At 53.9% G+C, this 23080-nt stretch overlaps 2 long non-coding RNA genes across 3 annotated transcripts, besides 5 other annotated features; both read left to right on the top strand.

The window, feature by feature from the left end:
- Positions 4233-5180: an enhancer, noted in NCBI's record as "H3K4me1 hESC enhancer chr20:48660109-48661056 (GRCh37/hg19 assembly coordinates)". NCBI's record gives its function as "activates a minimal SCP1, AML or CMV promoter by ChIP-STARR-seq in naive and primed H9 embryonic stem cells {active_cell/tissue: H9 hESC(naive and primed)}" and the evidence as "EXISTENCE:reporter gene assay evidence [ECO:0000049][PMID:30033119]".
- Positions 7123-8045, top strand: TRERNA1 (translation regulatory long non-coding RNA 1). The gene is made up of 2 exons (NR_051976.1): positions 7123-7375; positions 7703-8045. It is a non-coding gene; the product is annotated as a translation regulatory long non-coding RNA 1 (long non-coding RNA).
- Positions 7158-7357: an enhancer, noted in NCBI's record as "active region_18081". NCBI's record gives its function as "activates an Ori minimal core promoter by ATAC-STARR-seq in GM12878 lymphoblastoid cells {active_cell/tissue: GM12878}" and the evidence as "EXISTENCE:reporter gene assay evidence [ECO:0000049][PMID:35858748]".
- Positions 18060-18897: an enhancer, noted in NCBI's record as "H3K4me1 hESC enhancer chr20:48646392-48647229 (GRCh37/hg19 assembly coordinates)". NCBI's record gives its function as "activates a minimal SCP1, AML or CMV promoter by ChIP-STARR-seq in naive H9 embryonic stem cells {active_cell/tissue: H9 hESC(naive)}" and the evidence as "EXISTENCE:reporter gene assay evidence [ECO:0000049][PMID:30033119]".
- Positions 18275-19661, top strand: SCREEM1 (SNAI1 cis-regulatory eRNA expressed in monocytes 1). Of its 2 annotated transcripts, none has more exons than XR_936829.1 (3): positions 18275-18400; positions 18760-19038; positions 19311-19661. It is a non-coding gene; the product is annotated as an SNAI1 cis-regulatory eRNA expressed in monocytes 1 (long non-coding RNA). The 2 variants fall into 2 exon arrangements; XR_936828.1 differs by having other exon boundaries at positions 18275-18515.
- Positions 19737-20574: an enhancer, noted in NCBI's record as "H3K4me1 hESC enhancer chr20:48644715-48645552 (GRCh37/hg19 assembly coordinates)". NCBI's record gives its function as "activates a minimal SCP1, AML or CMV promoter by ChIP-STARR-seq in primed H9 embryonic stem cells {active_cell/tissue: H9 hESC(primed)}" and the evidence as "EXISTENCE:reporter gene assay evidence [ECO:0000049][PMID:30033119]".
- Positions 20575-21414: an enhancer, noted in NCBI's record as "H3K4me1 hESC enhancer chr20:48643875-48644714 (GRCh37/hg19 assembly coordinates)". NCBI's record gives its function as "activates a minimal SCP1, AML or CMV promoter by ChIP-STARR-seq in naive H9 embryonic stem cells {active_cell/tissue: H9 hESC(naive)}" and the evidence as "EXISTENCE:reporter gene assay evidence [ECO:0000049][PMID:30033119]".

Raw genomic sequence — 23080 nt, 5'->3', positions numbered from 1 at the left:
GGGAACAGTGGGCACGGGGCAGGCCTTTGACCAGTTCTATCTGCTTCGGGGCTGGAGCCAGCCTGGGTGTGGGGGCCCCTCCCAGCCCCCTCAGCCTTGGGGCCCTCCCAGCTCTCAGTGACGCAGCTGTGGTGGCATTTGGCAACCGGGCTGCCCACAGCTACCACAGCCCTGTGCATCTGCCAGCTGGGGGTAGGGGGAGCCGGGGCCTGTCCCTGCCAGCTGAGCCCTCCTGCCAGCAGCCTGGCCCAGGTGCCCCCGACATGCTGTCTGCAGCCCCTCGCCCACCTTACCTTGCCTCCCCACACTTTCCGCCACTGAACCTGACTGGTTCTCACTAACCAGAAAGTCAGTGCCTTGCCGGCAGGATCGTGTCTGTGTCTGGCACCATTCTCTCCCCAGAACTAGCACACAATTGGTGCTCAATAAGTATTTGTGGAATGAACAAATGAAAAACTGGACAAATAAATGGCAACCTCCCCTTCCCTGTCTCCTTCCCTTCTTCTTTCTCCCTCCCTCCTCTTCTTCTTTTCTTCCTCTCTCCCTCTCTTCTTCCCTTCCTTCCACAGATAGTTATTAAGCACCTATGTGCCAAGCACCATGCTAGGCACTGGGGACACAGTGGTGCCCCAAACAGACAAAAGTCCTGTCCTCACAGAGACAACATTCTAGAAAGGGAGTTAGACAACGAAATGACCCCACAGGCTGGGCACAGTGGCTCATGGCTGTAATCCCAGTGCTTTGGGAGGCTGAAGTGGGAAGATTGCTTGAGGCCAGGAGTTTGAGATCAGCCTGGGCAACATAGCAAGACCCTGTCTTTACAAAAATTTAAATTAAAAAAATAAAGTACTTGGCCGAGTGCGGTGGCTCATGCCTGTAATCCTAGCACTTTGGGAGGCCAAGGCGGCTGGATCACCTGAGGTCAGGAGTTCGAGACCAGCCTGGCCAACATGGTGAAACCCCGTCTCTACTAAAACTACAAAAATTAGCTGGGTGTGGTGGCGGGTGCCTGTAATCCCAGCTACTTGGGGGGCTGAGGCAGGAGAATCACTTGAAACCAGGCGGCAGAGATTGCAGTGAGTTGAGATCATGCCACTGCACTGCAGCCTGGGCAAGAAGAATAAAAAAAAAAGCACTTAAGGTCTTAAGAAAAATCAAAAGAAATAACTCCATAAACCAAGTGCAGAATTGAAGCAGGAGAAGATGCAGGGAGAGGCCTTCAGTGCCATCCACGCCTGGAGCGGAGGTAGGGGCGTCTTCCTGAGAAAGGGACCCAGCAGCGCCTCGTTCCCATCTTGCTTGGGCAGGTGAGAGGTGCCAGGAAGATGGCAAAGCCTGTGCCCCTCGTGAAGCTCAGAGTCTCAAGGGACGCAGACCTTCCTAGTGAGTAGGAAACTCATTATGAAAGAGGAAACCCTCTGGCGCTGAGCAAGAGTGTCAGCGCCTTGCCCTCTCAGCCAGGAAGGTCCCAGAGGAAGTGACGCCCGGCAGTGTCCCAGCACTGGGCAGGATCTGCTGGCAGCCCACCAGGAGAAGAGTATTCCCGGCAGGGACACCAGCTGGGGCAAAGGCAGGAAGACTGTCACCACCCCTCGGAAGCTGTGACTCCAGCCAGGCTGGGAACGCCCCTCTCTGGCCTCGGGCTTTCTCTTTTGAGAAAAGGGAGCAAGGGAGCAGGGCCGCCCACCAGGCAGGGATGCTGGAAAATTCTCTAGGAGGCTTTGAAGGGCTGGGCAAGGCGCTTGATTTAAATCCTCCCGGGCTGACTTGCTATTTCCTGTCTTCCCTGATGGGCCATGAGCCCTGGGGGAGAGAGGCCTGGTCTGCCTGCCCTGTGGCCTGGCACAGTTTGGCACACAGTAGGTGCTCAGGGGGGTGTGTCTGTGGAATTAAATGAGCGAGTGCAGTCCCAGTTTCCTCATCTGTGTGTGGGGATAATGCTGATGTGGCCACAGAGATGGCATGAAGAAGCTCTTTTTTTTTTTTTTTAGCTTTTTGTAAAGATGGGGTCTCACTATGTTGCCCAGGCTGGTCCCAAATTCCTATCCTCAGGTAATCCTCCTGCCCTGGCCTCCCAAAGTGCTGGGATTACAGGTGTGAGCCACCACACCCAGTCCCTGAAGAAGCTTTCACATTTTTTGTGCTGTCTTCTCTCCCCACCTCCTGGTGGCAGGTCAGGCCTCTGAGGATCCCCTAGAGTCCCCAGAAATTCCCTCTCTGGGAGCTGAGGGTAGAGAACACAGTGAGAAGGTGGGTTGGACAGATTCCCCAGCTCCAGATTTTGAGGCTAGGGATCCTAAGGTGCCTGAAAGGAAGTGAAAATCAGCTTCATTTACAATGGAAGGAAACTGAGGTACAACAACAATAATAATGAAATCTTAGCTTGCTGAGTGCTTTCTCTAAGCCAGGCACTGTGCTAAGCCCTTTGACCCAAGTTGTTCCATGTAATCCTTTCAACAGTCATAGTAGGAAGCAAATACTATGATCCCATTTTACAAGTGAGGAAATGAAGACTCAGGTAAATCAAGGCCACACCACCAGTTAATGGGGGAGCAGGCATGGGAATGAGAATCTAACTTACAACCCAGAATCATAAGCCTGATGCTCCCTGTGTGGGGAGGTGGTTTGGGAGGGACAGGATGAAGGTTACATTGGAGAGGCTGGAGATGAGAAGAATGGACAGATCCTTCATCTGGGGGATCAAGGGCTGTGGAATAAATAATTGCAAAAGTGAGGGGTCTAGGGTCAATGCCATTGCTCTTTTCACCCTGGATAGCCCAGGAAAGCTCCAATCTTCAGCCCACCCCAGCAACCTGAAATTTACTTTGCTTCACTCACTCATTCATTCATCTATTCATTCAATCAGTCAATTAACAGAAAACACAATACAGAATCACACAATACCAAACATATCCATTTAAACAATAAATGTAAATGAGTTAAATGGGTCTATTAAAAAACAAAGACTCATTAGATTCAAAATCAGAATGCATTCATTTATTCATTGCCTTTCATTTATTTAGTGCCTAAATTATTCTAGGTCCTGTTTTAGATTCCAATGATAGAAGATAAAAATAAAATAGGGGAGCCGGGCAAGGTGGCTCACGCCTGTAATCCCAGCACTTTGGGAGGCTGAGGCGGGTGGATCACGAGGTCAGGAGTTCAAGACCAGCCTGACCAACTTGGTGAAACCCCATCTCTACTGAAAATATAAAAATTAGCCTGGCGTGGTGGCATGCACCTGTAATCCCAGCTACTTGGGAGGCTGAGGCAGGAGAATGGCTTGAACCTGGGAGGCAGAGGTTGTGGTGAGCCGAGATCATGCCACTGCACTCCAGCCTAGGTGATAGAGCGAGACTCCGTCTCAAAATAAATAAATACATACAAATAAAAAATAAAATAGGGGAAATATGGGGGTGGGGGTGTGTGACCTAGGGAGAGAGACCTTTAGCTACAAAGATCTTGAGGCTGGAATGAGCTTGTAGAATGGAGGAACACAAAGCGGGCTTCGTGGTTAGAGAATGGTGCTAGCAAAGGAGTGTGGTGGGGGAATAAGGTGGGAGAGGTCAGCAGGGCCTATACCCCAGAGCATTGACAGGGCAGACGCTGTGGAGTGTTGAGGTGCAGACGAGCTTGGTCCTGCTTACATAGAGCATGGGTCAGCCACTGCTCCTGGCTGTCCCAATAACCTCAGCTGGACTCGACCCTTCCCAGCTGGGGGCCCTTCATCCCACCCGAAGGGACCCGAGACAGCGGACCACAGCCTCCTCCTCTGGGGAGACCATGAATTACCAGGTGCCAGACTCTGCCACTGGTGGCTTGTGCACTTAATCGGCTCATTAAGTTCTGCCATCAGGTTAGTTTTCTTCCTATTTTGAAGAAGAGAAAACTGAGGCTCAGAGAGGTAAGGTGACCTTCCCAGTGCCACTCACAGCCAGTGAGCAGCATGGCTGGGGTGAACTCAGTGCACTGGACACAATAGTGCACCCTCTTGGTACTTCATGGCTGTGTCCCAGGAAATGGCAGTGGAGAGGCCTCAGCTGGCTGTGTGTCCTCACATAGGTCCCCCAACCTCTGTGGCCTCGGGTCTGTGTCTGGGAAGCACATGAGGTCATTGTCAGGACCTTGGTGACTTTCTCCCTTGGGGCAGTGGGGTTCCCGAAGTGCTGGGCAGGCGACTTCTCATTTCATCCTCACAATCAATCACCCTGTTTGACAGAGGAGGCAACTGAGGCTGAAAGAGGGGAGGTGATTGTCCAAGGTCATGGCTTCAGGCTCTCCTAAAGACCTGGAACTGGATCTGTTCATTGAATGGTGAACTCCCAGAATGGAGAAATCCAAGGATGTGGAGACTCTGAGGTGGGGTTGGGGGACGAGAACAAGACCACCAGGATATCAAGGGGAGAGCTGGCCTGGGACCCAGGACACGGGCCCCAACCCTGCCCCGCACTGCATCCTGGGCTAGTTCCTGAGCGGGGAGGGGCCGTAGGAAGTCTCCCTATCTCCCCACTCAGGCCATGCCCTGGGTCCTGCCCAAACAGGAAATGCCAGGCCAGCCCCCACCCCCACCCAGGGTCATGGGAAGACTCTGCCTGGGATTCCAGTGCTCTCAGCACTGGCCCAGCCTGGGGGGTCTGCGCCCTGGTAGCGGTGGCATGACCTTGGGCAGGGCCGTTCCTCTCGCTGGGCCTCATTCTCCCCTGCCCACCATACTCACAGGCTCTGCATCAGACAGGCACTGCCACCTCCTGGCTGGGTGACCTCGGGCAGGTGGCTGTCCCCTCTGAAGCCCAGTTCCCTCTTTCTTAAAATGGGGGACAGTGCACACCGCGCGTGGTCCATCAGCTGAGCCATTATTGCCCCAAGCAAGGGCACAGTGGGGAGGGCTGGCCTCTGGAGAGATCACCATGGCCCTCTGGGGATGGCGTCCTGTCTTTCCCTGGACTCAGAACCATGCCAGGTACCTCTTTGCACTTGTCTCCCAATCGGCAAAAGAGGCAGAGCCGGCCGGGCGCGGTGGCTCACGCCTATAATCCCCACACTTTGGGAGGCTGAGGCGGGCAGATCACAAGGTTAGGAGATCGAGACCATCCTAGCTAACACAGTGAAACCCTGTCTCTACTAAAAATACAAAAAATTAGCTGGGCATGGTGGCAGGCGCCTGTAGTCCCAGCTACTCGGGAGGCTGAGGCAGGAGAATGATGTGAACCTGGGAGGCGGAGCTTACAGTGAGCCAAGATTGTGCCACTGCACTCCAGCCTGGGCGACAGAGCGAGACTCCGTCTAAAAAAAAAAAAAAAAAAAAGAGGCAGAGCCATAACCCTGGCTGAATCCTTAGTTATTGCAAGGACTGAGTGACAGGAGAAGGGGTCACAGAGGTGGAGTGGCAGCGGGAAAAGGTGGAATGATGTGGATTGGGAGAGACCCTGGTGCAGGCTTTGGGGGCCTGGAGAATGTGGCCTCCTGGTCATTTTCTTTCCTAGTGAGAAAGTGTGGCCAAAACAGGGAGGGGGAGCAGTGGACAGGACCCAACCCCATCTCTTGGGGGCTTGCAAAGTACAGGGCAGAGCGGGAAGGGAAAACAGGCCCGAGACAGGGGTGAAGGTGGCTCTGCTCCCTCCACGTGGTCCTCCCAGGCAGGATGCAGGTGCTCCCAGTTGCCAGGCTTTCTATGAATGGTCCTCACTCCTCCCAGACCCTGGCTCACAGATCCTAGCCCACAGTTTTCTCAGCAAGCCACCACCCCATGGAGTTGGTTGAGCCTGGAAGATCAGAGAGGCACAGCAGTTTGTCCAAGGTCACACAGCAGAGTGGCCAACACTTCCTCAGGCCCTCCCTGGGGACAGCAGGGGTCCCAGGTGTGAATGAGAAAGAACTGCTTACCCGTTCCATGGGCCCCAGACCCCGAAGAGTCTTGGGAAACTGAGACACCAAGGTGAGTCCCTCTGAGGCAGCAAATGTGCAATGGCCTCGGTGTTTGGGCCTGTCCATGCCTGGTACCAGGTGTGCCCAGGGGGCAGAAGAGCCTGGGAAATGGGCTGGGACTTACTGCTTCTCCAGAGGCTGGGTTCTTTGCTGTAGAGGATAACCAAAAGCGTAGGAAAGGTGAGGGATACCGGGTGAATGCCAGGGCCCAGAGCACAGCTCAGTACATGGGGGCTGCTGTTGGAGCTGTTGTTGTTAGAGACCGGTTACTTAATCCCTCTGGGCCTCTGTTTCCACATCTGTGAAATGGGGACAGTAATAGTCCCCTCCACAGAGGGCCCCACTGAGGATTCCAAGAGTTATCTGCTGTAACGTACTTACAATGCACCTGGTATTTTTCTTCTTTTCCTTTTCTTCCTTGGCACAATCTTGGCTCACTGCAGCCTCTGCCTCCCAGGTTCAAGCAATTCTCCTGCCTCAGCCTCCTGAGCAGCTAGGATTACAGGCATGTGCCACCACACCAGGTTAATTTTCGTGCTGTTTTTTGTTTTATTTTGTTTTGTTTTCAGACGGAGTTTTGCTCTTGTCGCTCAGAGCGATGGCACGATCTCAGCTCACTGCAGCCTCCGCCTCCTAGGTTCAAGCGATTCTCCGGCCTCAGCCTCCCTCGTAGCTGGGATTACAGGCATGCGCCACCACACCCAGCTAATTTTGTATTTTTAGTAGAGATGGGGGTTTCTCCATGTTGGCCAGGCTGGTCTCGAACTCCCGACCTTAGGTAATCCTCCCTCCTCGGCCTCCCAAAGTGCTGGGATTACAGGTGTGAGCCATTGCGCCCAGCCTAATTTTTGTATTTTTAGTAGAGACGGGGTTTCACCATGTTGGCCAGGCTGGTCTTAAACTCCTGGGCTCAAGTGATCTGCCTGCCTCGGCTTTTCAAAATGCTGGAATTATAAGCACACACCACCTTGCCGGCCGCACCTGGTGTTTTTCTTTTGCTATTGTTCCAGCACCCAGAACGGTGCCTGGCACACAGTAGGTGCTTAATATATCTTAGCTGTTGTTATCATCATCATCATCATGATCATCAAGGCACTGACTTTCCGCTTCCCAGCTGTGTGAGGTCTTGCTCAATTTCACTTCCTCCTTCGTAAAGTGGAAATAACGATAGTACCTGCCCCTAGAGCTGGTGAGGACCCGTTCCTGCCTCCCACAGACACCTATTAAGTGCCTCCAGTTTTAGGAACTGGGTATAGATATGGCTGGGAACAAAATGGAAGAAAACAAAAACAAAAATCCCTGCCCTCATGGTGCTGACTCTCCTGTGGCAGAGACGGAGAAGATGAACAGGGATTTTATACCAGGCGTCAGAAGGGAACCAGTGCTAAAGAAAATGAAAACACCAGGCCGGGAGAGGCAGCTGGCATGCGGGCCGTGGTGGTTTTACGTGGTGAGGCGGTATCTCAGTGAGTGACAGGGAGGCGTTGGGAGGTGACAGGCCTACTCCGCCTTGGCTGGTTGGGCCTGTGGGCTGTGGGAGGGCTCAGGCTTTGTGAGTGGGGTGGGAACCCTGGAGGGCTCTGAGCAGAGGGACAGGGTCTGTCTGACTTAGCTTCTGTGGCCAAAAGGGGACCGAAGGGGACTGAATGGGAGGCAGGGAGCCCAGGAGGCCACCGCAACAGTCCGGGCGTGAGAGGGTGGGGCCAGGCTGAGTGGGTAACAGGGAGGGGAGACTTGGCCGAGTCCTGGGTCTGTTTTCATCCTCAAATCTTCTCAGGCCGATTTGAGAGAGTGAGACCCCTGGGGTCTTGGAGCCAGGCCTGGGAAAAGCTACTTCACGTCAGGCCAGGGGCTGTAGCCCTGGCAACCTCCACTCCGCCTGGAAATCCTCCACCTCGGGGCCTCTCTTTGCCCAGACCTGGCCCAGGAGGAGCACATGGGAGCCGGGACCTTCCCAACAATCCTTGCCGTTGGCTCCACAAACCTCAGCCAGTCCTGCAACCTGGGATGCCTTTTCCACCAGGATGCCTGCTACTGTCACTGTTGTCATTAGATAATTAATGAACTATAATTAGAAATCATATCAATAAAATTTCACAGTCTAAGGCTGTTGAAATAGGTACCATCATTATCCTCATTTTAGAGCTAAGGACAGTTTTGGGCGGTAGGGGAGGTGCGGGTGTCACTGCCTGAGGTCACACCGTAGCAGGACTGGGATTCAAACCCCCAGACCTCCGGTTCCAGAGGCCAAGCTTTTGTCAAAGACATGCAGTGAAACAGGCTTCTCAGAGGTTCCAGCCAGTCTTCATTGCAAAACAAGAGGGAAAACCGAAGCCAGGACAGGCTCGGGGACCTGGCCCTGCCCCTGCCCCTGCCCCCAGTGCCTAGAGACCCCAAAGCAGCCTCTGCTGAGAGGCCCTTCCCAGGATCTCCCACAGGCCAGGGCTCTGGGCCCTGCAGGAAGTGGCCAGGGCTGGGACAGGCCTGCTGCTTTGATCAGCTTTACGAGCCAGGGCTGTTTACGGAGTCTCAGGCCCCCAGCCCCCTGCCACCCGGGGCTGTGTCTTGTCACCAGCACTTGGGATATTAGCAGTCCCAGGAGAGTCTGCTGGCCAGACGGGTCTTGGCCCCATTTCCTCCAGCCTGGCCCGCACCTTGCCTCTTAGCCTCAGCCTCCGGGGACAGGGAGGGGCAGGGGTAGGCTGAGAGGGTCCCCTCGGGCCAGATACCTCCTGGGCTGGGGTGCTCCCCGCACTTCCTCTGCAAGTGCAAATGCAAGCTCAGTCCTACCACAGGCCTTTGCCTGAAGCCTGCAGCCCACCCCCAGGTCTCCCCACCTGCTCCTCTTTTCTGCTTCTCCTCCTCGGGGCTTCAGGTCCCTCCTCAGAGAGCCCTCCTTGACCACACTGTGGAGTCACCCTCCAGCACAACTTCAATTTAATTCCTGGTGCCCGCATCACTGTCTGGAATTCTCTTGCTCATTCTTTATCCTTTGGATGTTCTGTCTTCTTCCCCAGTAAGGGAAACTTGTCTGTCCCACTCACTTTTGTGTCCCCAGCACCTAGCATGGTTCTGGCACACAGTAGGAGCTCAATAAGAGTGTGTTTTTGTTTTGGTTTTGAGACAGGTGCTCACACTGTTGCCCAGGCTGGAGTGCAGTGGCGCCATCTTGGATCACTGCAACCTCTGCCTCTGGGGTTCAAGCAATTCTCCTGCCTCAGCCTCCCAAATAGCTGGGACTATAGGGATATGCCACCATGCCTGCTAATTTCTTGTATTTTTAGTAGGGATGGGGTTTGCTGTGTTGCCCAGGCTGGTCTCGAACTCCTGGACTTACACGATCCTCCCACCTTGACCTCCCAAAGTGCTGGGATTACAGGCGTGAGCCATCGCGCCCGGCCTTTTCTAAATTAAGTGTTTCTTCAGTAAAAGAATGATGAACCCTTTCTGGGAGGGAGGCTGTGGGCAGACTGAGGCCCCAAATCATCAAAGCCCCCCATACCCCGCCCCATGCGTGTGCCTGGAAAATTCACTGGGGCACAGAGGGGAGTTTCAGCCCCACTTTGTGAATGAGGAAACAGGCTTAAAGAGGTGACTTGTCCAGTGTTCCCAGCCTGAAGGAGCAGGGCTGGGATTCTATCCTGGGTCTCTCTGCCCTAGACCCCAGAGTCTCTGTCCCCCAGTCCCATCCTTCCCATCTTCTACTTCCCCACCCCCCACTCCCTCATCCCACCCCCCACTCCCTCATCCCACCCCCCACTCCCTCATCCCACCCCACCCCTGGGGCCTGGCTCACGCCTATGTTGTCTCCTGACAAGAAGCTGCAGGGGACAGGTGTCCGACCAGCCAGGCCGGTTCCAGGGCACGCATAGGGGGGCACTTCCCCCCAGGGGCGATGCCGTGGGATGACCGTGGACACCTGCTCCCACACCTGCCCTGCCTCCTCACCCGCCTCCATTCAGGCCCTGTGATTCCCTCAATACCCACAGGGCCACAATGGACTGTTTTGTCCTCAGAGACACCAGGAGCCCTGCTCCAGCCCTCAGCTCCCTGCCCCACCCCCTCGGCTCCCTGCTGTGTGCTCTGTGACCTGGGGCAGGTGCACGTTTATTCTGGCCTGGGGAGGAGGCAGCAGCAAATGGGACTTGTTCAGCACAGACACCATTGACAGGGGCCTCTCCACTCATCCCTGCCAGCTGGGGAACTTCGGGGCTGGGAAGGTGAAGAGGGTGGCAGGGATGACAGTATATGGGCACCACTTGGGGCTGGCTGGTTCCCATTCTCATCGAATCTCTAGGTTTTCCAACAATCCTGGAGATAGTCACTGTGGTCATCCCTCAATCTAGCCGAGGAAATGGAAGTCCAGAAGCAGAGAGGGCAGAGCAACCGGGCACGGTGGCTCACCCCTGTAATCCCAGCAATTTGGGAAGTCGAGGTAGGATGATCTCTTGAGCCTAGGAGTTCCAGACCAGCCTGGACAATACAGTGAGACCCTGTCTCCAGAAAAAGAAAACAAAACAAAACAGAGAGGGCACAGGGCACTTGCCTAAGGTAACACAGCAAGCAGGATTTGAACCCAAGTTTGTGTGATTTCCCTATTCTTCCAACTTGTCTCCCCTCGGGCAGCTGATGTCACTAGAGACTTTGCCAGGCATTTAGCTATGCCCAAGTTCATTCAGAAGACTCCTGCAGCAGACACGGACTTGCCAAACACTGGGCTAGGTCTGGGGACACAGCATGAACGGGATGGACAGACCCAGTCTCAGGGAGCCCACTTTCCAGTGGGGAGACAGAGAAGAAACCAGCAAAGGAAGCAACCAGTGAGATCACATTAGATACGACCAGGACATGAAAGAAAACTTAACAGGGGGCTGAGCTGGGGGCGCTTTAGGGCTGCTGAGGGATCTCCGAAGAGATGAGGTTTGAGCTGAGACCTGAAGGAAGAGAAGGAGCCACCAGGAGAAGAGGAGAAAGGGCGTCCCAGGCAGCTGGACCTGTATAAGCAAAGGCCCTGGGGTGGAAGTGCGCCCAGTATGTCTGAGGAACAGCAAGAGATAGGGGCAGATTACTCAGGGCTCGGAGGGAAGGGGGAGGGAGAGAGGGAGTGTAAGGAGAAGGAGCGCTCACCCCGCAGAAGAAGATGGGCTGTTTTCTCATCTGAAAATGGTATTAAGCTGCTCCTAAGGCTGCAAAATGACACAGACCCCTAAAGAGAGTTGGAGCTGCCATTCCTGCCTGCTGTGGAGTCATCAGACTCCTTCCTTCTCTGGAGAGAACGTTCTCACCCATCTCCCTCCTCGATCTAAGAAGGGTCAGGCAGAGGAGACAGCTCAGAGCTGGAGGAGCTGGGATCTATGATCTTGGGTGAGGTTCCTCTGGGAACCTGTTTTTCTGTCTGTGAAATGGGCATGGCCCTGGCCCCCACCTCACAGGAGAGGGAGGTTGAGGGGTTTCAGAGCAGGAGCCTGGCACTCAGCAGGTGCTTGGTTCAAAAGAGCTCCCATCTCCCTCGTTGGAGGTGGAGTGGGGTAGGGCGTTGCTTAACCCAGTGCAAGCTCAAACCTGCTAGGCAGCTGGAACTCTGAGCTCAGGCCCTGTCCCACTCCAACAAGAAGGTTCTTAGCCCTAGGTCAGGCCCAAAGAGAGCCATCCTCTCTGCCTGCCTGCTGGGGTGAGTTGCCCCGTCTGAGATGAGTCCAGAAGCCACCTCCTCAGAAGCTTTAGTGCCCCTGAGATCTGAGGGGTGGAGGCTCCAGGGCCAGTCGTTACCCGAGGCAGAGCTTGACAGGGGCCCGAGAGAACCCAGATTCCCAGCCTCCAAACTGTTCCATCACACAGATAAGAAAACTGCAGCTCAGAGAGGGTGGGGAACTTGTCTAAGGTCACACAGCTGGAAGGGTAGGCAGTGTAGACCTGAACCCAGTCTGGCTGACTCTGGAACTTTTCCTACAGAGCCACAATCCTCCTCCACTCTTTCATTTCTTTGTCAAAACAACACAATGAGGTTGGTACTTAGAGTATGCCCATTGCATAGATGGGGAAACCAAAGCTTGGAGAGAAGTGACTTGTCTGAGGACCCAAAGGACTTTTGTAATTTATTCAACAAGTATTTATTAAGCATCTACTATATGCCAGGCCAAAATAGATGAGCAGGGACCAAAACAGATAAGCCCAGCGTTTATGGCCCTCACCGCCCCGTGGGAGTGACAGACATCGAACCATTCAGGAAGTGATATGCCCTGGGCTTTGCAGACAGGCCTGGGTTTGAACCCTGGTTGTCACTTGCTAGCTGTATGACCTTGGGCATATTACTTAACCTCTCTGTGCCTCAGTTTCCTCATGTATAAAATAGAAGATAATAATAACACCTACCTCATAGGGTTGTTCACGGTTCTTAGCCCAGGGTGAGTGTTCCCTAAAGCTATTATTTTCTGTCATCTCATTTTACAAATCTTTTTTTTGTTTGTTTTTGAGACAAGGTCCTCCTGGGTTCAAGCGATTCTCATATCTCAGCCTCCTGAGTAGCTGGGACTACAGGTGCCCACCACCACGCCTGGTTAATTTTTGTATTTTTAGTAGAGATGGGGTTTCACCATGCTTGCCAGGGTGGTCTCGAACTCCTGACCTCAAGTAATCCAACCGCCTCGGCTTCCTAAAGTGCTGGGATTACAGGCATAAGCCACCACGCCTGGCCTACAAATATTTTTTTAATTATTACTTTTTTAGAGGCAGAGTCTCACTCTCTCACCCAGGCTGGAGTGCAGTGGTGCCATCATAGCTTACTGCAGCCTTGAACTCAAGGGATCCTTCCCCATCAGCCTTCTGAGGAGCTGGCACTATGGGTGAGTGCCACCACACCCGGCTAAATGTTTTTGTTTGTTTTTTATTCTGGAGAGACAGGCTATGTTGCCTGGGCTTGGTCTCAAACTCCTGGCAGCAAGCAATCCTCCTGCCTTGGCCTCCCAAAGTGCTGGGAATATAGGCGTGAGCCACCATGCCTGGCCTATAGATCTTTATTGAGTGCCTGCTGTATACCAGACTCTGGTCTGGGAGCTGAGGACACAAGTGACTGAGATGACATAGTCACTGCCTTCATGCTTTCCAACCATCTAGTGTGAGCCCAGGTATCCTGACTTCAAGGCTAGCAGCCACAGAGCTACTTTCAGCCCCCTCCTCCAGGAAGGCTGCCATAATGACCCTGGCCTGCTGGGACCTGCCTCACTCTGAAATTTTTTTTTTTTTTTTTTCTGAGACGGAGTCTCGCTCTGTTGCCCAGGCTGGAGTACAATGGTGCGATCTCGGCTCACTGCAAGCTCTGCCTCTCAGGTTCACGCCATTCTCCTGCCTCAGCCTCCCGATTAGCTGGGACTACAGGCGCTTGCCAGCATGCCTGGCTAATTTTTTGTATTTTTAGTACAGACGGGGTTTCACCGTGTTAGCCAGGATGGTCTCGATCTCCTGGCCTCGTGATCCACCTGCCTCAGCCTCCCAAAGTGCTGGGATTACAGGCGTGAGCCACAATGCCCGGCCCACTCTGAAATTCTTAAGCCAATTCTGACACCCTACCCCTCTATCCACCCGGCTCCACCCATTAAGCCTAAGGAGGCCAGAGTTTCCCGTGGGTGCCCCAGATACTCAAGCACCCCCATTCCCAGGCCTGTGAATGTCTACTGCTCCCCAACCTCCACATCTTCCATGGGAGCTTCTGACAGGCCCTGAAAGGCCTAGAAAAGGTGGCTGAGCTGAGCCCCCACCCTCATTCTCCACCTGATGCTGCCTGCTGCTCTGGGGCTGCTTGCCCGGCCTCCTCCCGGGGCATCAGAGCGAGTGTTTATCTGCTGCCATGGGAAGCCCTGAGTCACTCATCTGGAGCTGGCACCCACCGCAGGATGGAAAGGAAAACAGGCACTGGCAGGGTGTTTTCTCCATTAAGTTCCCTGCGGATAGCAGGAGACGGGCAGAGTAGGGATGAGGAGAGAAATGACTTTTTCAGGCATGACGGTCCTTCCTCTGCTGTCCAGGTCTGGCTCTCCCCTGGAGAGTCTCAGCTCTCTACCATGTGTGTCCTCCCCAGGGTCTGGCCATGAGGAAATTGAACACAGAGAAGCCCAGGCCCTTCCCTAGGGCACACAGCAAGCACCCAGCCTCTGGCCTCAGTGAACAGGCAGAGACTACAAACGGGGGGTGCTCGGACCAACCAGACCCACAGAGGGACAGAGGAGACTTGTTTGACCCCCACAGAGTTAGAAACAACTGGAATTTCTTGCCCACAAAATCAGCCTGGGAGCAGGGGCTCACACCTATAATCCCAGCACTGTGGGAGGCTGAGGCAGGAGGATCGCTTGAGCGCAGGAGTTCAAAACCAGCCAGGGCAACATGGAGAGACTCTGGCTCTAAAAAAAAAAAAAAAAAAAAAAAAAATTTAATAGCCAGGTGTGGGCCGGACACAGTGGCTCACTTCTGTAATCCCAGCACTTTGGGAGGCTGAGGTGGGCAGATCACTTGAGGCCAGGAGTTGGAGATCAGCCTGGCCAACATGGTGAAACCCTGTCTCTACTAAAAATGCAAAAATTAGCTGGGCGTGGTGGCTTGCACCTACTCAGCTACTCAGGAGGCTGAGAGGGGAGGATCCTTTGAGCCCAGGAATTCCAGCCTGCAGTGGACTATGATCTCACTACTGTACTCCAGCCTGGTGACAGAGCAAGACTCAGTCACTTTAAAAAAAAAAATTCTATTACAATTCTGACTTCCCGTTTTCCCACAGCAGCGGGCCGGCTTTCCTACGTGGCAATGAATCACACCCATCACAGTCTCCACCAACCCCTATTGCTTCACCCTTAACTTATTTAAGTACCTGCCTAGCATCTGCAGGCATTGGAATCATCTGACCCTTGCTTAAAGCAAGGAAAAGAAGAAGAAATGGAATTTTAGGCAGAGGTTAGAGTAGGAAGAATCTAGGCTCCCGAAAGCTATCACTGGAGGTTCTGGAATTTGCAAGCCCTGGCTGGGAGGGAACATTCCCACTGACCATTCCAGCCTCTGCTGACCCCAGGGCCTTTCTGTGGCCACGGTCCTGGCTGTAAGTGCATGCACAGTCCTGGGTATCCTTCCAAGTGGATGTGTGGGCCCTGTGTGTGTATTTCTGGGCACAGAAGACTTTCAGGGTACTTGAATCTTGAATCTGCCATTTTCTGGCTGTGCGGTCCCAGGCAAGGACCTTACTCTTTCTGGGCCCAGTTTTGTTTGTTTGTTTGTTTTGAAACAGGATCTCCCTCTGTTGCCCAGACCGGAGTGCAGTGGCATGACCATAGCTCATTACAGCCTCAACCTCCCAGGCTCAAGTGATACTCCCACCTCAGCCTCCCGAATAGCTGAGACTACAGGCACACACCACCATGCCCGGCTAATTTTTTTAAAAAATTTTTTGTAGAAATGGGGTCTTGCTATGTTGCCCAGGCTAGTTTTGAACTCCTGGGCTCAAGTGACCCTCTCGCTTTGGCCTCCCAAAGTGCTGGGATTATAGGCATGAGCCACTGCCCCAGGCCTCTTGTCTGTAATATGAGCCTAGGCTGGCACCAGACAGGAGTAAGAGTAACTTTTACTATTTGATGTAAAGCCAAGCACTTGGCATGGGTTAACAGCTTCAGTCCTCGCTAAGAAATGAGGAGACCAAGGCACAGAAAGTAAAGCGCACAGTACAGGACCCGATCACAAAGGCCAAAAGGCAGCCAGGCCTGGCTCCCAGGGCCATGTGCTGGCTCCCCACACAGAGAATGTCAGCCGTGTGTGCTCTCAGCACTCTCCTGATACTGAGGATGAGAGGCACACATTACATTTGGGGACTTTCTTTTTTTGGGGGAGAGACAGAGTCTTGCTCCGTCACCAAGGCTGGAGTGCAATGGCGTCATCTCGGCTCACTGCAATCTCCACCTCTCGGGTTCAAGCAATTCTCCTGCCTCAGCCTCCGGAGTAGCTGGGATTACAGGCACCTGCCACCACACCTAGCTTAATTTTTGTATTTTTAGTAGAGATGAGTTTTCACCACATTGGCAAGGCTGGTCTCCAACTCCTGACCTCAGGTGATCCACCCGCCTTGGCCTCCCAAAGCACTGGGATTACAGGCATGAGCCACCATGCCAGGCCCATTTGGGGATTTTCTGTATGCATAGGGACCCTATATGCATGGTGTGCATGGTAGACCAGGCCCTGCACACACGTGAGTGCATGTGAGTCAGTGTGCATGTGTGTGCAAGTGTGTGCAGGAGAGGTTCTGGGGCCCACAAAGGACAATCATGTGTGTCTATCCATGTACACTCACATCCATTTGTGTACATAAGTGTCTGCTCCTGCACCTGTGTGTCTATTTGGATGTGTGTGTCTGTCCCTGCACGCAAATGTTTGTCCCTACATACAAGTGTCTGTGTTCACATGTGTCCACCCTTGAACACATACTTATCCTTCCATACATGTGTTCATCTGTGCATACGTCGGGCACTGTCTCCTCTCATACTCTGGCATGAGCTCAGTACATGTAGTCGCCCCCACCACGTGTGTGCAAAAACCCGGCTCCACCCATTAAGCCCAAGGAGGCCAGAGTTTCCCGTGGGTGCCCCAGATACTCAAGCACCCCCATTCCCAGGCCTGTGAATGTCTACTGCTCCCCAACCTCCACATCTTCCATGGGAGCTTCTGACAGGCCCTGAAATGCCTAGAAAAGGTGGCTGAACTGAGCTCCCACCCTCATTCTCCACCTGATGCTGCCTGCTGCTCTGGGGCTGCTTGCCCAGCCTCCTCCCGGGGCATCAGAGTGAGTGTGTATCTGCTGCCATGGGGAGGGGCTGCTGCTGGCCTGGGGTGGGTCTGCAGGAAGGCTCCTTCCCATGCCTTTGCACCCCCAGGAACCCCAAAACTTGTCACCATGCCACAATCACAGGAACATAGACTAATGCACACACACACCCCCACACATGCACAAAATACATGGCAGACAAACAACACTCCACACACACGTCCAGGCACCTGCCAAAAAAAGACGTGACACACACAGACCTGCTCCTATACAGTCACACCAAATTCCAGACACACAACACACACCCACAATACACTGCAGATACCCACAGGCACCTACAAATACAGAAGCACTAACTGCCTGAATCAGAGACACATAATGCAGGTGCATGGATGGGCGCACACAGACACACAGGGATGCACAACACCACACGCGGACCCACATGCATCTGTCCACATCACAGACACACACTCACACGCGTACCCCCTATCCAAGGCCATCCAGCTGGCCCCACACCCCAGGAGGACCGTGGAGAGCTCTGTCCCTCTTGCTCTCTCCCACCTGGCTTTAACCTCCTCCAAGCCATGTCCCCACACACCCCATCTTCCCTACTGCTCCCCTTGGCTGCCACACTGGCCTCCTGGCCAGTCCTGGAACACACTAGGCACATTCCAGCCTCAGGCCTTTGTACTTGCTGTTCTCTCTGCCTAGAATGCTTTTCTTGACCCCTTGATATCTGTGTGCCTCCCTCCCTCAGCTCCTTCCCGACTCTGCTCAAGACTGTCATCTTGGCTGGCTGCGGTGGCTCACATCTGTAATCCCAGCACTTTGGGAGGCCGAGGCGGGTGGATCACTTAAGGTCAGGAGTTCAAGACCAGCCTGGCCAACATGGTGAAACCCCATCTCTACTAAAAATACAAAAATTAACCGGGTGTGGTGGCACGCACCTGTAATCCCAGCTACTCCGGAGGCTGAAGCAGGAGAATCACTTGAACTCGGGAGGCAGAGGTTGCAGTGAGCCGAGATTGCAACACTGCACTGCAGCCTGGGTGACAGAGTGAGACTCCATCTCAAAAAAAAAAAAAAAAAAAAAGACTGTCATCTTGCCAGTGAGGCTGCGGCTGCTCCTGACCCTGCTCCCCGCACTGTGAACGCAGCCTGCGCCTCGCTCCTTCTGTGGCTCTCTGCTTTGATGCTGCTGCTGCTGTTCTCAGCTCTTACCACTACCTGATATTTATCAGTTGCTGGTCTCCCCATGAACGCCCTGGGGCAGAGGTCTCATTTCATCCAAAGTTGTAACTCCATGCAGTGAGCCGAGATCGCGCCACTGCACTCCAGCCTAGGCAACAGAGTGAGTGAGATTCCGTCACAAAATAAATAAATAAATAAATAAATAAACAAAGTTGTGACCCGAGCATCTGGAAGACTGCCTGGCACACAGGGGTGGTCAGTAAGTATCTGCTGAATGAATAAACACAATAGAATAGAAAGGATTGGTAGGTTCTAGAACAGACCAGAACACACAATAGAACAGAAACAATGCAATGGAATAGACAAGCTACACCACAACAGCCCAGTATAACCCATCAAAGCCAGGCTGATGCTCAGGGCTTCAACAGAATTGGGCAGAACAGCCACGAACCCCCTCCTAAAACTACGATCTGGACCTCAGCAGACACCATCAGGGTGGGTGGCCACGAACTGCATCTGGACAGGGGTCTTCCCACGCCCCTCTCCCCCGGCTATCCTGGGCTGAGAGCTTTTCCGCCTGCTCTGTCCCTGTTCCTGCCCAGCCGAACAGGTCAGGGGTGGTTTCTGGTCTGGACACCGGGGCTCTGGCTCCTGTCTGGGGTGATTCCTGCTGAGTCACTGGCCACAGTTCTGGCCAGGCTCCCACGGGCCTGATTATGTTGGAGGTTGGGGGACCATGGCCAAGGGATGAGGCACTCAGCCTACGGGTGCGTGGGGTGAGGGTGGTGCTGGGCTGGCCACAGGCTGCTTCTCTCCGTCACTGGTGGCTTTTACTTCACCTTTCCCATGGCCAGATGATGACAGAGAACACTCTCTCCACCAGGCCTGACCAAAGGTCTGGCTAGGCTGATGGTTACGAAAGAGAGGGAGAAAGAGAAGAGACTTAGGGGACCCCTCCCCCGCAAGCAATCCTCCACGGGGAAGGCTGGCCGTGGGAAGCTGTCCCTACCCAGTGCAGACTCGAGTCTGGCTTGAGAGCCCTGGCCCACCTCTGGACAGGGTCCTGATCCAAGGCTGGCGCTTCATCTCAGGGCAGGGGCAAGGTGGGGGGACCCTGCCTGTCTGCCTGGAAGGTCAGTTCTCGCCCTAACCCCACCTGGAACTTGACCATGTCTCTGCAGCCCCTCTGCTCAGGACCCTCCAGGGGCTCAAGGCAAAAGCCACATCCTCCTCATTGCCTGCCCCACCTGCCCGCCCCGTCCCCTTGCTGGCCTCACCTCCTGGCCTCGCCCACTCTGCTCCCACCCGACTGGCCTCCTGCCTGCTCCTTGACTCTGCCCACCACACCCCTGCCTCAGGGCCTTCACACTGGCTGTTCCCTCTGCCTGGAACTCTCTCTCCGCAGACACCCACATGGCTTCCTTCGATTCGTCCTGCAGATCTCCCTGGCATCACTTTCTGAGACACCGTACTCAACCCCCTCCAACAGGGAAAGCCCCCGCGCTATGTCCTGACTCCCCCAGCTGCGCCTGGCTCCCCCACCTGTGCCTGGCTCCTCCAGAGACACCTGTTCCAGCCCAGTGTGCGGTGTGCTCATTGTGCCATCTCCTTGGGTGGAGTGATGGCTCCATGAGGGCAGGCAGGTTGTCTACTCTGTTCACTGTTTAAAGCAGGGCCCTGCCCGAAGGAGGTGCGCAATACCTTCCGGGCAAATAAATGAATGAATGGATGAACTAAAGGAATTGGGAGGGGGAGTAGGAAGAGCACACTTAAAGCTCAGGCAGGTGCCGGGCGTGGTGGCTCACGCCTGTAATCCCAGCATTTTGGGAGGCTGAGGCGGGCGGATCACGAGGTCAGGAGATGGAGACCATCCTGGCTAACACAGTGAAACCCCGTCTCTACTAAAAAAATACAAAAAATTAGCCGGGCATGGTGGCGGGTGCCTATAGTCCCAGCTACTTGGGAGGCTGAGACAGGAGAATGGTGTGAACCCGGGTGGTGAACCTGGGAGGCGGAGCTTGTAGTGAGCCGAGATTGCACCACTGCACTCTGGCCTGGGCGACAAAGCGAGACTCTGTCTCAAGAAAAAGAAAGCTCAGGCAGGCCCCAGTGTGGTGGCTCAGGCTTGCAATCGCAGCACTTTGGGAGGCCAAGGCTGGTGGATCACTTGAGCTCAGGAGTTCGAGACCAGCCTGGGCAACACAGCAAAACCCCATCTCTACAGAAAAATACAAAAATTAGCAGGGCATGATGGTGCACGCCTGCGGTCCCAGCTACTCGAGGGGCTGACGTGGGAGGATCACCAGAGCCCGGGGAGGTTGGGGCTGCAGTGAGCCATGATGGCACCACTGCACTCCAGCCTGGACAGCTTCACTGAAGAGGTGACATTTAAGCTGAAGCCTGAGATTTGAGAAAGAACCTTGAAGTGTTCCAGGCAGAAAACACAGCCAGTGCAAAGGCCCTGAGGCTGGAACCTGGTCAACACACTCAAGAAAGAGAAGGAAAGCTGTGAAGCTGAGTGCAGTGTGTGTGTGTGTGTGTGTGTGTGTGTGTGTGTGTGTGTGTGTGTATGTGTTGGTGGCGAGGGAGGGAGGAGTTTGCAGCCTATAATGCAGGGAAGTGCAAGGACCCCACTCTGACACCCCAGAATCTCCTTGCCCCCCTGGCAGGTGGCTTTCTGTCTGTCCCACCCAACAATGGTTACAACTGGTGTCTCACTCTCCACTCCCTCCCTCCCCCAGATTATCCCCTTCCCCTCCCTCCGCCCCGCTCCCCCTTTTCCCGCCTGGCCTGGCAGAGCCGGGAAACAGTGACTCAGGAGTCTGGCCGACTCAGGCCTCCCTCCCCTTCGTGTCAGGCTGCTGGGCTGGAGCCAGCTTTGGCCTGACATCCAGCCTCAGGCCTGACATCCAGCTGGGCTCCGGCCAGGGGTGCCCTCTCCTCAGCATGGCAGACACTCCACGTGGCTTCTTACTGGAGGCAGGAATAAGAGTAACAGCCCAGGTCATGTAAATATAACCTTCCCCACCACGTGTCGTGGCTATCCCCATTTTCCAGGGGAGGAAACTGAGGCTGGGTGAGGCTGTGACACTTGTTACACACCCTGGGGATGTGGTGCCGACAGTGGCGGTGCCCAGTTGGCAAGTGCAGGGCAGGGGGCTGGTTGGGGCTGAGGCTTCACCAGTGTAGACAGGCTGCAGACTTCCCCAGGTACCTCCCAGGCAGGAGGGACCCAGGGCTGCAGGCCTGGCCTTGGATCCTAACACTCCCGCAACGCCAGAGCTGGGGTCTCCCTTTCTCACTAACCCCACCCCACATACACTCACCAAGAAAGAAACAGGCCAAGAGTCAGGGAAGGAAAATACCCAGCAAAGGAGACAGGGGACACTTCCTGGGGGGTCCTGGGCCCTCTCCCCATTTCCTCCATCAGTGACTCCCACCATCAGCCAGTGACCTCAGTTGAACAAGTTACTTCATTGTGCAGAACACTAAACCACATTTTTCCAGACTTCCCTGAGAAAGACACACGTGGTTCAGAGTTTGGGCTCCAGTCAGATCCTGACTGTCTGGGTTCAAGCCCCATCTCAGCCGCTTCTTAGCTGTTCAACTCTGGGCAACCGTCTCCACCTCTCTGGGCCTCAGTTTCCCATCTGAACAACGGAACTTCTAACAGTACAGCCTCCCAGGGTTGTTTTGTGCCTTGGCACACAGCAAGTGCTCAAAGAATGTCCCCATTGTTCTCCACAAGCCCTGATCTGTGCAAAACCTCAGCAGAGAGGCTCAGGGACCCCCCACCCTGTGTCCATGTTGAAAACTCGCCTGTGGAATTCTCGGTCACCCCATTCCTTCTGACAGAGTTACAAATTCAGATTAGATTTTTATTCTCTGACATCCACTTAACAGGCCACAGTTATTATTGTTTCTGGCCTAAAATACAATGTGTTTCTGGTGAATTAATGGGTCCAGGCTACTCTCACTCCTGAGGAGATAAGGTCCCAGCATTTCTGGAAAACTATGTGCTGTTTTCTGATCTGGAACATTCAGTTGTAGCATGGACATGGGACTTTTGAAGTAGACACTACTTCTACTTCTGGGCCACCCAACATTTCCAACCCTGGGGAGAAGATTCTGGGGGTCCCTGACTCCCTTTTGCCCCAGAGCTGCACCCGAAACAAGAGCATGGGATTCTGGGGCTGGGGGGACCCTTGTGTAGAAAAGGATAATAACAACATTGATAACCATAGCAGCAGGCCAGCCTTATTAAATTTTTTTTTTTTTTTTTTTTTTTTGAGGTAGAGTCTTGCTCTGCCTCTCCGGCTGGAGTGCAGCGGCTATGATCTTGGCTCACTGCAACCTCCGCCTCCAGGTTCAAGTGATTCTCCTGTCTCAGCCTCCCAAGTAGCTGGGATTACAGGTACCTGCCACCATGCCCAGCTAATTTTTGTATTTTTAGTAGAGACAGAGTTTCATCATGTTGGCCAGGCTCGCCTTGAACTCCTGACCTCAAGTGATCCATCCGCCTCGGCCTCCCAAAGTGCTGGGATTACAGGCATGAGCCACCACGCCTGGCCTTATTTCATTCTTATCCTCACCATTTGAGGGAGTTTTTCTCCTTAGCACCATTCACTGGGGAAACTGAGGCACAGAGAGGTGAACCAGCTTGCCCAACCTCACTCAGCCAGGACGGAGCAGGAGGGGGTGGGAATCCATGCAAGTTTGATAGAGAAACACTGACTTTTACCTCTTTCCTCACCTTTTCCACAGATGGCAACTCAAGAGGCTAAGTGTGGACCGAAGTCACCCTTGTTACTGCTCTCATAATCTCTCTTTTTTCTCACACTCTTCCTTCTCAGCTTTAGGTTCAAGTTGGTTTGGAATCCAACAGGCCTGACATCATCATTTCTCACCAGTGTAACCTTGGCTCATGAATTCTGCTTTCTGAGCCTCAGTTTCCTCATCTGCAGAATGGGGGCAGCACAGAGCCTCCCTCATTGCCTTGTTGTGAGCGTTCCCCAGGATCATGAGTGCTTTAAAAGGTGCTTAGGTCAGCTGAGCACAATGGTTCACACCTGCAATCCCAACACTTTGAAGGCTGAGACGGAAGGAAGATCGCTTGAGCCCAGGCGTTCAAGACCAGCCTGAGCAACATAGTGAGATCCCATCTCTATTTATATA

Source organism: Homo sapiens, chromosome 20 (assembly GCF_000001405.40).
Source record: "Homo sapiens chromosome 20, GRCh38.p14 Primary Assembly".
Classification (NCBI taxonomy): domain Eukaryota; kingdom Metazoa; phylum Chordata; class Mammalia; order Primates; family Hominidae; genus Homo; species Homo sapiens.
The sequence above is the reverse complement of the archived record's forward strand: the minus strand, read 5'-3'. Positions and strand labels throughout refer to the sequence as shown.